General features: G+C 32.6%; 1 protein-coding gene across 15 annotated transcripts in view; it reads left to right on the top strand.

Moving 5' to 3' along the window:
• The window catches only part of DIAPH3 (diaphanous related formin 3), a 498,346-nt gene that overhangs the window by 240,071 nt on the left and 242,097 nt on the right, over nucleotides 1-16,178 (top strand). For 14 of the 15 annotated variants that reach the window (XR_002957478.1, XR_002957480.1, XR_941672.1 and 11 more), the window contains 2 exons: nucleotides 7,609-7,703; nucleotides 12,022-12,123. Coding sequence is in view for 10 of the 15 variants with exons in the window: in NM_001258368.2 (NP_001245297.1) it covers nucleotides 7,609-7,703; nucleotides 12,022-12,123 (197 nt within the window). In the remaining 5 variants the exon portion in view is untranslated. Of the gene's footprint in view, nucleotides 1-7,608; nucleotides 7,704-10,945; nucleotides 10,968-12,021; nucleotides 12,124-16,178 lie in introns of all 15 variants that reach the window. The other variant, XR_001749694.2, reaches the window with a different exon arrangement.

Raw genomic sequence — 16,178 nt, 5'->3', positions numbered from 1 at the left:
AGAACCTCCTCTCCTTCGTAATCACTTTGATCTAAACCCATCTCTTTTCTACAATGCAGGCCTGCCAAGATCCCCATGGATAGTATGGCGGCATTGGTGTATTGTCTAGTATTCAATTCTCTATTTCTGGGCACTGCTGATTGCACATCTCTGCCCCTGTCAAGTTAGGAGTCACCAAGTGACATGCTTGGACCAGTGAAGATGGGAGTGGAGTTAATGTCACTTTTTGGGGTGGAAGCATTTCATTGGTGGTTGAAGAAGCTCCCCCTGGCACCCAGAATGGCATTCAGAGTGGTGTCCATCATCCTGATATAGGGATCATAATTAATAATTAACAGAAACTGGTGTGATGAACATATGGTCTTCATGAGAAATAATTTGTGTGTGTTTGCTTAGACCACAGAGATTTTGTGTTTTTTGTTTTTTGCATGATGTACATATTTTAGGGAATTTCCCTCCCAAAAGAACTTTGTCTAGGTTCAAAGCACTGTGTTTTGAACTATGTCAGATAATGTCAGAAAGTTCCGTATCTGTGATCTAAAAGAGATGATTTTATTTTGAAAAATGTTCATGACCTGCATTACAAATTACTAGTGTTGATTCTAAATAGTCTTGTAATAGTTCCCGAAGAAATATAATGTTTAATAGAATTCTTTCTGAATGGGTCAGCTGTGGTAAGTTAGCCTAAATGTCCATCTCATAGTTAAATAACTTTTTGAACACGGTTATTTATTTATGTATTACAGAACATGTTCTACATGGGATTTCAAATTTAATTAAAACAGCTAATAAATACTGATTACCTTTGTTTACTAGTTCTGTATTTGGCCCTTTAATCTTCACTACAACCCCACCAGGTGGGTATTAGCATTAACAGTATAGGTAGGGAATCTGGTGGGTGTAGCAGTTAAGTGATTTCAATAAGATTGCTCATTTTGAAAATATTTTAATGTTTATATAGTTTAATGTATATCTGTTCCTTTTTACAGAAAACAGAATAACATTTTTATGGAGAAAGATCCTGTTTGCCTTGTTTAATTTAGCTAGAGTATATATATCCTATTCATTTAATTGAGAAACATGTTTTAAAGTGTAAGATGAAAAGATACAGAATTTATACCATGTCATATTATGATGTAATCCATTTTAAGATTATTCTTCTCCTCTCTGATGGTAGCAGGCATTATGATTTAAGCTTTAAGAAGCTTTAGCAGCCTATGATCTTCATTGTAATTATAGTTTTTTGTCATGAAATTTAGAGTTTTGAGAGTCTGAATTCTGAGATGAGTCTTAGAACTGTTTTGGAATGAGATAAATTGAAATAAAACAGTGGTCAGTAGTAGAATACTGATACTAAAATGGAAAGGTTCATTTCTAAAGTTCATTGAAGAGAATATTATGGGTATGTACTAGATTAGAACTTTGGAGAAAGAATCTAAAAGTCATTCATTTATCTACTTGTCTATTTAAAAGTGGTTTTGGTTTCCTATATTTTTGAGTTCATAAAGGTTTCCAGACACTAGGATCAAGAGAAGGCTTAGGAGTTTTATAAGTTTCATTTGTTTATGATTTTTTATATTTAAGGTTGTTTTCTGCAAGCAAGTACAGCTTAACTTATTTCTGCCTATTTTTTTTCTCTTACCTAATTGCCCTGGCTAGGACTTCAAGTAATATGTTGAATAGAAGTGGTGAAAGTGGAGATCCTTATCTTCTTCCAGATTTTATAGGAAAAGCTTTCAACTTTTCTGTTTGTTATGATGATAGCTGTATGTTTGTCATATATAACGCATATATTTATTGTGTTGTGACACATTTCTTCTATACCTAATTTGTTAAAATTCTTTATCATAAAAGAATGATGAATTCTGTCAAATTATTTTTCTATCTATTGAAATGATTATATGGTTTTGTCTTCCATGCTGTTAATAGGGTGTGTCACATTTACTGATTTGCATGTTTTGAACCATCCTTGCATCTCTGGAATGAATCCCATTTAATCATGGTGAATGATCTTTTTCATGTATTGAATTCATTTTGTTGAGAATTTTTGCTTCAGGGTTATTGACAAGTAGCTTTCCTTTGTTGCATTCTTGCAGGTTTTGGTTTCAGGGGAATGCCAGCCTTGTGGAGTGAGTTTGGCAGTATTCTCTACTCTTTGATTTTTTTTGAATAGTGTGATAAGAATTGGTAATAGTTTTTACTTACATGTTTGATAGAATTAAGCAGCAAATGTATTAGATCCTCAGCTTTTCTTTGGTGGGAAACTACTTATTACTAATTTCAGTTTCCTTACTGGTTATTGGTTTATTCAGGTATTGTATTGTTTTATAATTCAATCTTGGTAAGTTATAAGTTTCTAGGATTTTATCCATTTTTTTTCTAGGTTATCCAATTTATTGATGTATAAGAAATTATTCAAAATAGTCTCATATAATTCTTTTTTTATTTTTGTGGTGTCAGTTGTAATATCTTTTCATTTATGACTATATTTATTTGAGTTTTCTTAGTCTAAATAAACATTTGATTATTTTATTTTTTCCAAAAATGAAATTTTTGGTTGTTTTTTCTTTCTTTTTTTTTTTTGGTATTTTCTGGTCTCCATTTCATTTATTTCTGCTTGGATCTTTAATATTTTCTTGCTTCTACTAATTTTGGGTTGAGTTTGTCTTGTTTTTCTAATTCCTCCAGGTGCAATGTTAGGTTGTTTGAGATTTTTTTTTTTTTAGTGTAGACATTTATTTCTGTAAACTTCTCACTTAGATCTGCTTTTGCTATATCCCATATATTTTGGTATGTTGTGTTTCCCTTTTCAATTTTCTAAATACATTTTTATATTGAAGACTTTTAATTTCTTCATTGACCCATTGGTTATTTAGAAGCATGTTGTTTAGTTTTCATGCATTTGAAAAGTTTTTGAATTTTCTTCTGTACTGATTTCTAGTTTTATTCCATTGTGGTCAGAAAATATACTTGATATGATTCTAGTCTCCTTAAATTTGTTAAGACATGTTTTGTGGCATAACATATGATCTGTCCTGGAGAATGTTCCATGTGCAGTTGAGAGAAGGATGTTTATTCTGATTTTGTTATATGAAATGTTCTGTAAATATCTGTTAGGTCCTTTTGGCCTAGAGTTCATTTTCTAGTTCATGTTTGTTGATTTTCTGTCTAGATGACTGTTTTATTGCTGAAAATGAGGCATTGAAGTCTCCTAATATTGTATTGCAATGTATGTCTCCCTGTAGATCTATTTTCTTTGTATATTTAGATGCTTTGGTGTTGGATACAAATTATATATATATATACATATATATGTATATACACGCACACACATGCATATACACATATATATGTTTACAAGTGTTACATCCTTTTGCTGAATTGATCACTTTATTATGTAATATCCTTTGTCTCCTTTTACAGTTTTTGGTTTAAAGTATATTTTATCTGATGTAAATATAGCTACTCCTGTTCTTTTTCGGTTTTCATGTGCATGGCATATCTTTTTCTATCTTTACACTTGGTTTATATGTGTCTTTACGGGTGAAGTTAGTCTTCAATAGTCAGCATATAGTTGTAGTTTTGTTTTGTTTTCATTCAGCCACTCTGTCTTTTAATTTGAGAATTCAGTCCATTTAGATGCTAGATAATTATTGATAGTGAAGGACTTATAACTACCGTTTTGTTGATTGTTTTCTAGTTGTTTTGTAGATCCTTTTTACTTTCTTCCTCTATTACAGTTTTCCTTTCTGGATAAGTGATTATTCTCTAATAGTATGTTTTGATTTTTTTGCTTTTAATTTGTAGTACATTTAGTATAGATTTTTGCTTTGTGGTTATGAGGCTAACTAAAAGATTTTTTACAGTTACAACAATTTATTTGAAACTGATAAACTTGATCACTTATAAAAAATAAAACTACATATTAATTTTACTCTTTCCTTGAATTTTGAATTTTTGATGTCACAACTCACATCTTTCCATATTGAATATTCCTTAACAATTTATTGTAGTTACTATTAATTTTAATAGTTTTGTCCTCTATTCTCCCTTTTAAAGATACAAGTGATTTACATACCACTATTACATTATTAGAATATTCGGAATTTGACTATGTACTTACTTTTACTGGTGAGTTATACTTTCAGATATTTTTATGTTTCTCATTATCATCCTTTTCTTTCAACTGGCAGAATTTCATTTAGCAATTTTTATAAGACAGGGCTGTTGATTGTGAACTTCCTTAGCTTCTGTTTGTCTGGGAAACTCTATCTCTCCTTGATTTCTGAAAAATAAATTTTGACGGTAAAGTATTCTTAGAAGTTGTTTTTCTTCAGCACTTTGAATATGTCATCATATTTTCTCCTGGCATGTAAGGTTTCTGTTGAGAAGTCTGCTGTTAGGTATACTGGAACTCTCTTGTATGCTATTTTATTATTTTCTCTTGTTGCTTTCTGGATCCCCTCTTTGTCTTTGATCTTTGACAGTTTGATTATAATGTCATGGTGTAGTATTGGATTCAATCATACTAGACACCTTTTACCTTCCCGTATCTGGATATTTATATCTTTTTGCAGGTTTGGAAAGTTTTCTGCTATTACTTTTTAAAATAAGTTTTCTACAATGTTATCTACTCTCTCAAACCTCAATGACACGTTTTTGCTCTTTAATGCTGTCCAATAAATTTCACGTTTTCTTCATTCCTTTTCATTCATTTTTCTTATTCTCTTACAGTATATTTTTAAATAAACTGTCTTTAAGTTTACAGATTTTTTTCTTCTGCTTGATCACTTGTACAGTTGATGCTCTCTACTGAATTTCTCATTTTGTACCTTGTATATTTTAGTATTTCTGTTTAATTTTTAAAAACTGTTTTCTTTGTTAAAAAATACTGATTTTTTTTTTTTTTTTTTGTATTTTCTTGAAGTTCACTGAACTTTCTTAAACCACAGCTTTGAATTCCTTGCCAGATAGTTCATACATGTCCATCTCTAGTGTACATCACTGGCAGCTGATTTTGTCCCTTTGGTGATGTCATGTTTCCCTGATTGTCTTTTTGCATTGTGGTCAAGTGTTGCTGTCTGCATGTTGAAGAAGTAGATATTTATTCCATTCTTCTCAGTGTGACTTTATTTTAGGTCATCTTTCAACAGTAAGTCTGTCTAGGGTTTTTGAGTAGACCATCTGGTATGGGTTGCTGTTGTTGGTGCAGTGTTAGGGAGTGCCCTAAGCCTAGAAGTGCTTTGGGTGGTGCAGCCCAGGCTGGAAATTTTTGGCTCCCACAGCTGGCCCTGCATCAGGCTTACTTTCGTGGTTCTTAATGTTGTTGCAGTCCTGGGTGGTTCCTGAAGCCCATGGCTTCTGTTGCCTGTTTGCCACTGAGTATTTTCTGTAAACGAAGGTCGCTGCAGTCATCCGTCAGTGATATAGGCCAGAACTCGAGTCTTTTCTCAAAGGACCGTTAGATTCCTGTCTGGTACCAGTGTCAGTCTAGATGCTTAGACTGCAGATACCTGTCAGGAATCAGAGTCCATGAGCATTTTATACTGGTAGATTTGTTGTTAGCGACAAAGGGAAATTTCTATGTTCACTTCTCTTTTTTTTCAAGTGGACAGTATCTCTCTCTCTCTCTCTTTTTTTTTTTTTTTTCCTGTGCTGCCTGACGTTGGTGGATGGATTGATACGGGTGATGTAAAACATTCTTTACATAATCAATGTATCTTTTTTAGTATTAGTCTATACCAGGTACTGTGATTTTTCACTTGTTTTCTCTCTTTTGAAGGTATTTTCTTTCACATGTGGCTAGTTCAAATTCATGTTTCTGTGAGGGTGGAGAATTACTGGAGAGCCCTACTTCACCATCTTCAGTGATTATATTTTTTGCATGTTCTATTGTCTACTACGGAGTTGTCTTTTGTAATTTTATAAATTTCTACTTACTTTTTTTTTTTTTTTTTTTTTTTTTTTTGAGACAGAGTCTTACTCTGTCGCCCAGGCTGGAGTGCAGTGGTGCAATCTTGGCTCACTGCAACCTCTGCCTCTTAGTTTCAAGCAATACTTCTGCTTCAGCCTCCCGAGTAGCTGGGACTACAGGCACATGCCACCATACCTGGCTAATTTTTTGTATTTTTAGTAGAGGTGGAGTTTCCCCATGTTAGTTAAGATGATCTCGATCTGCTGACCTCGTGATCCGCCTGCCTCTGCCTCCCAAAGTGCTGGGATTACAGGCGTGAGCCACCGTGCCTGGCCAAATCTCTATTTACTCTTATACCATTTACATATTTCATCTTGTTCTTGGGATATTAAGGATTATAGACATCTGTGAGTTTTATTGTAATGATTTCATATTTAAGACTTCTTGGGTTCAGAACTGTGTGTGTTGGTGATATGAATACAGATGATGCCCTTGTTAATCTGTAGGTGATACATGATATTCTCACAAATCAGGAATACAACCTCAATACAGAAAAGAAGTAGATCCTGTTTCCTGAGTTTTATAAAAAATAGTCATCCTTTGATATCAGAGGGATTGGTTCCAGGACCCCTGATGAATACCAAAATCCACAGATGCTCAAGTTCCTTATATTCTGCTTTTATATCCATGGTTTCTGTATCTTTAGATTCAACCTACTGTGGATTGAATTTGATCCACAGTTGGTCAGATTTGTGAATATGGAACCCACAGATATGAGGTGCTGAACATAGTTTCTTTATCTAGAAATACACATACCAGATGACATAGAAATTCATTAAATAAAAAGAAAAATAATAGGCTATTGATTTGCAGGTGCTGAGTATGGTTAAGAAGTGACATCTTGAATGTAAAAACATAATAGTACAATAAGGGTTGAACTAGCAAAAGCGTTGTATCTGTTGCTGTGAAAATATCCTTCTACTTCAGTAACTTTTGAAAAAATCATTATAATAGTTGATATAAGAGCCATCAAGAAAGATGTTTAGAATTCTCAGTAATAACATATTATACTATCTAGTACATTTGGATAATTTTCAGTGAGAATTTGTTTTCTAAAACTGGATATTTTAAGCTTTGGTTACATGTGAAGGTTTCCCTAGCATACTGTTTACAATGTTTCTGAATAGTGAAGTGCTACTATTACTTGTAAAAGTGTTAATGTACTGCTTAGCAGTTTTCTTAAAATACTTTTTCCTGAACTCTTTCCTAAGGCTAGAAGAGATACAAGCAAATAATACATATGCTTAGACAAATATTACATGCACATACTGTGGTTTTCTTATTATTTTCATTACAATGTGATGTTTTTATAGTGTACCTTATTTCATTTTTTGTTATCACATGAAAATTGACATCATTCCTATGGTAGATAAATAACTGAGCATTTAAAAATCAACCTTGGATCCAGTGCAATAACACAGGACTGTTGTTTAAACACTAGTTCTAAAACTAGAGAAGAGTATAAAATGTAGTAATGAAAGTTTCCCCCATAATATGTTTCCCCCAAACATAATATTAAATGTTTGAATTCTCTTGTTTTATGAATTTATTTTTGATTTTATAAATAGAACTACATCTGAAATACTTTTTTAAACCTTATTCATTATAAACCTTTCTCTCTTTCTCCTTCTTAGCAATCTTCCTGAGCTCTTTTCGGGTGCCATATGAGGAAATCAGAATGATGATATTGGAAGTAGATGAAACACGGTTGGCAGAGTCTATGATTCAGGTAAACAAACAGGCACAGCTTAAATTTCAATATTTCATTGCAAGCTTCTCATTAAATAGAAATCTGTAAGTGAAGCAAAATTCTTCACCCAAATCATTCAACTGGAAAATCATTGCTGCATAATTAGTTTTAGCATAACTTCTGCATTGCCAGGAGAGAAAGCTGCATCTTCTCTTAACTGCACATGAAATAGAATGCTATCAAATGATTACATTTTAAGTATTTTAAGTTATTGTTTCTGAAAAGCAAATTGTTTAATTTTACATTTTTGTTTTTGTTATACTTTATTAATGTGTTACTTAAAATTTGTTTCTATAGCCCTTTTAGAATGTGTTTTTCTTTGGCTTATGAAGATATTATTATATGGTTTAGAAGATTGAGGGAGTTTTCAATTACAGTTACCTTTACTAACAATTCTTCTTAGAGTCATTTGGGCTCCTATGAGTATTAGAGATTGTTTACATAGTATTCTGAATTTATTCAGAAAGCTAGAAGATTTTTGTTAATGGCTTTTATTCATAGTATTTTCAAATGAATACTAGCATCATGTCGAAGTTATTGCTGAGTTCCACATAAGAAATCAATAATGTATATCTTGATAAAATTTAAAGTTGGAGAATCAAAACACAAATTATATAGTGAGAGATTATCTTCAGCTTACCATCTTTTGTTCTGATAGCGGATATATTTAGGAAAATGATTACTTAGCAATAAAAAGAAACCAAATATTTATTAGTGCCAACAAGCAATTAAAATTATTCTGAATATTTTAACTAATCAATAAATGATATCTTTGGAAGTTGTTCTAAGTTTTGCCTTTCCTATCTTGTCTTCTAAATGTAGTGGTCATATAATTTCACTAGTGATTTGTGCTGTGAGTCGCTGAGACTCATAAACTACCTGATTCAGCTACTCTTATTTAAGCATTTTTTTTCTCTTTCAGTTTGTTTTTTACTGGATTTTCATCTTCGTTCATGTTGATTATATGTGTGCCTTCTTGCTAGGAATAGATGCCAACTTCCTTAAATAAAATTTTTCTACTTAATACTTGTTTGTATTTCTTATAATGAATTAGTTAAATATTTACAGAGTAGCTTTTAGCTTGATTACATGAATGTTTTAAATGAACATGTGGTTTTGTTATATAATAGAAAAGAGATGATTTGCTTTTTAAAATTCATGTCCAAAGTACATTCAGCTCCATATATTTTGTAATGTATTAGTTTTTTATTTGTACTATACCCATTCACCAAGAACTTATTTGCTTAAAATAATACAAATTTATTATCTTACATTCCTGTAAAACATAAGTCTGATATTGGTCTTACTATGCTAACATCAAAGTATTGGCAGAATGACCTGTGTTTCTTTTCGTAGGCTCTAGGGAAGAATCTGTTTGTATTTCCAGCTTCTCATGGTTGCTCATACTCTATGGCTTGTAGAACCATTCCTTCATCTTCCAAGCCAGCAATCTTGCATTCCTCAATTCCTTTGTCTCATAGTCACATCTCCGTCCAACTCTATTGTTTTTTTCTTCCACTTATAAGAACTTTTTGATTACATTGAGTACATCCAAATAATTCAGGATAACCACTCTAAGGTCAGCTGATAGCAACTTTAATTCCATCTATAACCTAAATTCCCTTTGCCATGTAACTTAATATTTTCATAGGTTTTGGGGATTAGTCATGTACATCTTTAGGAATGGATGTCATTATTGTGCCTATCATACTTTCTAAATATAAAACCAGCCTTGGGTATTTCTAAAATGTAAAAATTTATTTTGAACATATATAAGGTTTTAATATATTCATTAAAAAGTAAGAATTTCTTGCTATTTGAACTCTTAATTTTAAAAGTATATTCCTCATTTTAATGCGAAGAATTCCTATTTTGACCAGGGCATGGAAACAGAGCTTTATGTTGTAATAATCATGATTTTGGTTCTCTGTGTTCACTGTGATGGTTATATTTTGACATATTTAGTTACTTATTCATATATATGTACAGGTCAGCAGTATGTCATTGTTTTGCCATTTTTCATGCCACTTTTCTGCATCATTTTTTACCCATTTACCTTTGTTTGTCACATCAGTCATTTATTAATTCATTTTTCATATACTTTATTTTATGCAACATGTCCAGGGCATTGTATTAGGCTCAATAATTTTTATGTTTTATTACTTTTGTTTTTTTTTTGAGACAGAGTGAGACTGTCAACCAGGCTGGAGTGCAATGGTGCGATCTCGGCTTACTGCAACCTCTGCCTCCTGGGTTCAAGCTATTCTTCTGCCTCAGCCTCCTGAGTAGCTGGGATTTCAGGCACCCGCCACCACTCCCAGCTAATTTTTGTATTTTTAGTAGAAATGGGGTTTCACCATGTTGGCCAGGCTGGTCTTGAACTCTTGACCTCAAGTGATTTGCCCACCTCGGTCTCTCAAAGTGCTGGATTAAAGGCGTGAGCCACCATGCCCGGCTGTATATTAGGCTCAATAAGAATTAGACTTGACCTTCTTGGAATTTATAATTTGACAAGGGAAATGACATTTACATACATAATTGTAAAGCAAGGTAAGCAAAGTTTTAAGATTGGTTTAGACCTATAGAATATGTTGAGGGAGTATGCTTTGTGAGTGTATGTGTGGAGGCAAGGGTATGTAAATGTTGAATAGGTATAGATGTAGAATAGAGCAGAGGAGTTGCATGAAAAATGTAGTGAAGGGCAATTGTTTTGGCAGTAATAATACTGTGGGCTGTGAGGGAAGCTGGGCATGCGTGCCTGTCTGTGCAGAATTTAGCTGAACAGTAGCTTAAGATTTGCGAAGGGTGTGGGGAATTTGTAAGGGGAGAGACAAAGGGAGGTTGGAACCACGCACTTAAAAATCACAATAGTATTTTTATGTTAGAATGTAAAATTAATGGAGTGAAAAAATTAAAAAATTCAGGTGAAAGATGAAAATCTGATTATATATGAGATATTCAGGGGGATTTGTCTAAAAGGATGCTAAAGAAATTCAGAGGCCTGAAGTAATAAAATCTAACAATCCAGCTGTCAACTAGAATGGGTAAAAATATAAATAATCATGTCTTTTGGTCTCAAGCAATTCCACTAAGAGAAATTTCTATTTATGTGGGGAAATCATATACTTTTATTTTTATTCAATTTGATAGTATTAATAGTGAATACTTTGTCTAGGGATGATCTTAAAATGCCACTTTTTTTTTGTTTTGTTTTTGGCCAGTTAACCAAGTTTTTGTCCAAAGGTACACAGTGAGTCAATAACTTATTCTTTGATCTAATTGATTTTGATGTATAACATTCTCTAACAGTATTTTTAACTAATAACACCTTTGGGGAATTTCCCCCCATAAATATATATAGCATGATCTAGGCTTAATTATAGTTTGTATTCAACTTTGGGCTTGTACAGAATTTACTCATGCTGTAATTTGGAATTGTGAGCACCAACCACTCTTTTTTATCTTAATTTTAATATCAATGCACTAACTTCTTGTAACGCTATTATAGTTGATTGTATTTTGATACAGAGGATCGATATAGACTTTGTCCAAGGGATTGTTTAATCATTTAAGTTGTATCAGGAAGACATAGTCTTGTGTATTCCTTTAATCTTTATTCAAGTAGTTCTGTTGTTTAAGTGTGTGGCTTACTTAAGTTTCTAAAGGACCTCTACATGCCTTTTATCTGCAAGGTATATCAATCATCATGTGTCTTCAACACCTTTTAAAATTTTCTTTCACATCAGAAAAGTTAGTTTGTTTTAGAGATATCTTCAGTTTTTATTATTAAAACTGTAATCCTATTGGTAAATCTTGCAAGCACTGCCATTAAAATTCCCTTGATTTCTATTCTGTCCCTTCCCATGCCTTTTTGTAGCAATATGATGATTTCTTTTATCCCCCTGAGTGAAGTGTTAAAATATGTTTGGCTTTGCCTGAAATTTCTGACATTTAATTCCCTAAAGCTGAAATGTAATGGATCACATTCATCCAGGTGAGAAAGCTGTTCCTTTGGTATAGGTTGAGTTCTCTTTCTCAATTATATAGCTAATCAAATAAACATTCAGTTTCAGTAGTGCTTGATTTGAATATATAATAACTCTGGGATAGAGAAATGGAAAATTGACTGTTTTCAAGATGCAGGGAATTTTGCTTAAGGCTTATTAGGAGGGAGGTTACCTAGAAATAAAACTGAAGATTAACTTCACTGGTTTTCTTTCAGTAGTTTTTAAATTATATTTTTAAAATTCAAGAAGTACATTTAGTGAAGATCTTTCTTTCTGGTTTTAATTTTTAGAACTTAATAAAGCATCTTCCTGATCAAGAGCAATTAAATTCATTGTCTCAGTTCAAGAGTGAATATAGCAACTTATGTGAACCTGAGCAGTTTGTGGTTGTGGTAAGTACCGAGTCTCAGAGAGGATTTTTATACTGTGCCAAACAAGAGAACCTGTCAACTGTTTTTATATCGCTAAATGTAAAAAAGCATGTGAGTAATCACATACATTTAATATCCATCTTACTTTTTTTTAACTTAAGGATATTCATGTGAAATTACCTTGATTTAAAATATATATTGAAACTCTGGCATTAAGTGAAGTCCAAGGGGCTTTTGAAAATTGTATGTATAATTTTTTTGCTCTCTATTTAATGTTAAAATGTAAAGTAAAAACTGTACTTCTTAAGAATAGAGAGGTATATTTGTGATTTATTCTAGAGCTGTGTATTCCAACATATTGCAAGAGTAGCTTTGGTTTCTTGTTCTGATCACTTACTTGAATTCATCTCGTAGTTTAGACCGAAATTATAAATATAGTATCTTTCTTGGCAATGAGGATGAAAAATGAATTCATTTTAGAAAATCTTTGATAATCATCTTGCTCCAGCCTTTTATTTTATAGAAGCTGGGGTCTAAAGAGGTGAAAAGAATTTCCAATGCCATATATTAAATGTATTACAACTTAAAATTTTAAGATTTTTATCAAGATTTCTTTTCTGTGCTCTTTTCTCCTACCATTAAATTATTATTTTTAGGTCGGTTACACTTTGTCATTATAACAATACTATAGTGTTGTTTCTCTAATAAGATTGTTTATTTTTTCCCTTTCATCTTCAGTTATATTAATAATCTCCAGGGCCAGGATGAAATTTGTTTGACAGAATTTTAAAAATTCAGGTTGATTTACTTAATAGCTGTGCCTGCACCTCATATTTTGGCATGTTGTAGACATTTGCTTTTACATTCCTTCCTATCTCTTCATAAACGCATTCTACTCCTTGCTACCACCAAAGTTAAAAAAAAAAAAACTCCAAATAGAACACAAAAGGAAAAAGCATGATTTTCCTTGTTCACAGTCTTATAATTCTTATTCTAAAACTTTTTTTTTTTTTTTTTTAAATACTTGAGACAGAATCTTGCTCTGTCGCCCAGGCTGGAGTGCAAGTGGTGCAATCTCGACTCACCAAAACCTGCGCCTCCCAGGTTCAAGCGATTCCCCTGCCTCAGCCTCCTGAGTAGCTGGGATTATAGGTGGCCAACACTACACTCAGCTATTTTTTTGTATTTTTAATAGAGATGGGGTTTCACCATGTTGGCCAGGCTGGTCTCGAACTCCTGACCTCAGGTGATCCGCCTGCCTCCGCCTCCCAAAGTTCTGGGATTACAGGTGTGAGCCACCCCACCCGGCCTTTTCTAAAACTTTTAAATTCGTTGTCTTTAAGAAAACAAAAAAAGTTTTTACTTTTTACTCCAATTCTTCAGGGTATTCTCTTCCCCGCCTGCCCCTTTTCTGTCTCCTTTCTTTTTTCTTTATTTCCCTGCTTGCTTGCTTTTCTATTATTTGGTTAGTTTGTCTATTTGATACTCTATTTGCCATGTCTTCCATAAGAGAATAGGTGAATAAGGGAGAATTTGCATTACATTTTTAACCACAGACTATTTAGAGTGTTTTTTTTTTACCTATGTTTTGACACTTGAATTAAAATAATATATAAAATTACAATTTTGAAATATTTTCCATGTACATTAAATCTGATACCATGCAAGGTTATATGAAAATGTCTATCTAACAAGTAGCTTTTTATGTTGCCTACCATTATAGTAAAGATTTAAAACTATTTCTGTGTTCTAGTGATTCAAGAAGACTGCTCAAATTTGCAGATATTTTCAATTTACTTAAAATAGCCAAGTTATGCCTTGTTAAAAATTAAGAATTCACATCAAAGAGCTTTGATTTACAAAAAGTGTACTTTTAGGGATCAGCAGTTAAAACAACTGGATTCCCAGATACCAATGCTAGAGGTAATAGTTTTGATTTTAAGATGGTGATGGACCACTTCCCTTTCAGGACATGTCAACTCAAACTTAATCTGGAATGTACACATTCCATGCTGGGTCATACCTGAGTGCCAGTGGAATATAATTTGGAAGGAATAACGTTGTTGAAAAACATCCTCTACAGACAATATGAACAATGCCTTAGTCATCTATTGATTATGACAATATACTCTTGAACAAATTGTTTTCGGTTCTGGTTTCTGTGGTACTAATATTTTAAAAGGTAATTGTATTGGTGGAAAAATCAGAATGAAAGTTGAGGAACAAAATGAAATATTTTTATTTTATTTTTTGTCAAATAGTAATGTTCTTAGATTTTACCTTTTTCCATTTCTATTTTTCACCATTTCCAATCTGGCTGCTACTACTTCTCAACTTTTGCTCTCCAAAGAGAAGTGGGAAACCTGCTTAAAGCTCCAAACAATCCTTGATAATTAACCAAAAAAAAAAAAAACAAAATACTGGACAAAGAGTGTTAGACAGTCTGGAATGTCTGAAATTTTCTGTACTCCTTTCTAGATTAAAAACCTTTGCTAACTTACTAAAGAATGATGTGTTTTCAGTTTATCAACATTATCAATAATACAGTAATTTGATGATTTTAAGAAATTGGTTATAATTGCCAAGTGTATTTCTGTAAGACTTCCATAATAATGTTTCATTTTTAAAGTAATAAACTTTTTGAAGTGTTTGTATCAAAAATGGGCAATTAACTTGAAGTGAATTAAACTCCAGATTTCTACAAGACATCCTTGCCTTAAAAACATGTTTACTTCTTGATTTAGCCTAGATTTAAAGTACATTAGAAATGTGCTAATCATCTTTACCTGAAAAATCATCACACAGTTAGATATAAGAAAAAGTCAAGAGTTTGGGGTAGTGTTAGTGCTTTCCCAGCTCCAAATAGGACCAAAGCTTGACTTTTCATTTGTTTTTCACTGTAGAAAAATTAGCTCTTAACTCTTTCATCTTTAGGTTCCGTAGACTGATGTTATGATTTCTAGCATTTTCATTTGAACAAAAATTAGTTAAAATTCTACAGTTTTTACTTGCCACTAAGTTTAAGTTTTCTTTTATCCAGTTATGTGAATTCATTAATTTGATTCATATTAATTACAATTTTTTCTGAAAGGTTGTGTTTTATTTAAACTGATACCCTAACTTGAGACAGTAGATTAAATTCAGTCAAGTTGCTTGCATTATATAATCAACTTTAATTCTCCATAAGAATTAGTTAAAAAACATAAGATGTAGCTCCACCAGGATATTGATGTTTATGTTATTTTCCTCTTTGATAGAAAGGCAGGGTGTAAAAGTAAGACATCTAAAATATTAGTAACCAATGTCAATTAAGGTCAATTAGCATATATCAGAAATAGTTTGTATACTGGAAATGTCTTACTTTTTTTTTTTTTTTTTTTTTTTTTGAGACAGAGTCTAGCTCTGTCACCAGGCTGGAGTACAGTGGCACGATCTCGGCTCACTGCAACCGCCTCCTGGGTTCAAGCGATTCCCCTGCCTCAGCTACCTTAGTAGCTGGAACTACAGCTTGGTGCACAACACCAAGCCCAGCCAACTTTTTGTATTTTTAGTAGACATGGGGTTTCACTATGTTGGCCAGGATGGTCTTGATCTCTTGACCTTGTGATCTGCCCACCTCGATCTCCCAAAGTGCTGGGATTACAGGTGTGAGCCACTGCACCCGGCCATATGTCTTACTTTTATCATGTATCACTTAGATACAGTTTTCTAGGGCTCTATATCCTGTAGAGTATGGTATACAAATTTACTGTGGGAATTATGTCAATTTCTATTAAATTGTATATCCTTGAAACTTCTAACCACTAAACCATGTGATGTGCCTAATTTTTCACATTTTCTGTAATATAGACTTTCATGTTCATATTTATGTCTCTGTTGAAATTGGAAGCAAAATTATTTAATGCTGATATTACCTCTCTTTCTAATTAAGTCATAAATGTATATGTAGTAGACATGGATACTTTTTGTGGTACTCAGTTCTTAGTTGTTCATCTGTCACTTATATAGTAATTCAGAAACTTAAGTTACCTTCTTGAACTGATCTCCTTGTGGTTCTTGTCACTGGACATGCACTC

Source organism: Homo sapiens, chromosome 13 (assembly GCF_000001405.40).
Source record: "Homo sapiens chromosome 13, GRCh38.p14 Primary Assembly".
Taxonomy (NCBI): domain Eukaryota; kingdom Metazoa; phylum Chordata; class Mammalia; order Primates; family Hominidae; genus Homo; species Homo sapiens.
This window is presented reverse-complemented; position numbering and strand designations above follow the sequence as displayed.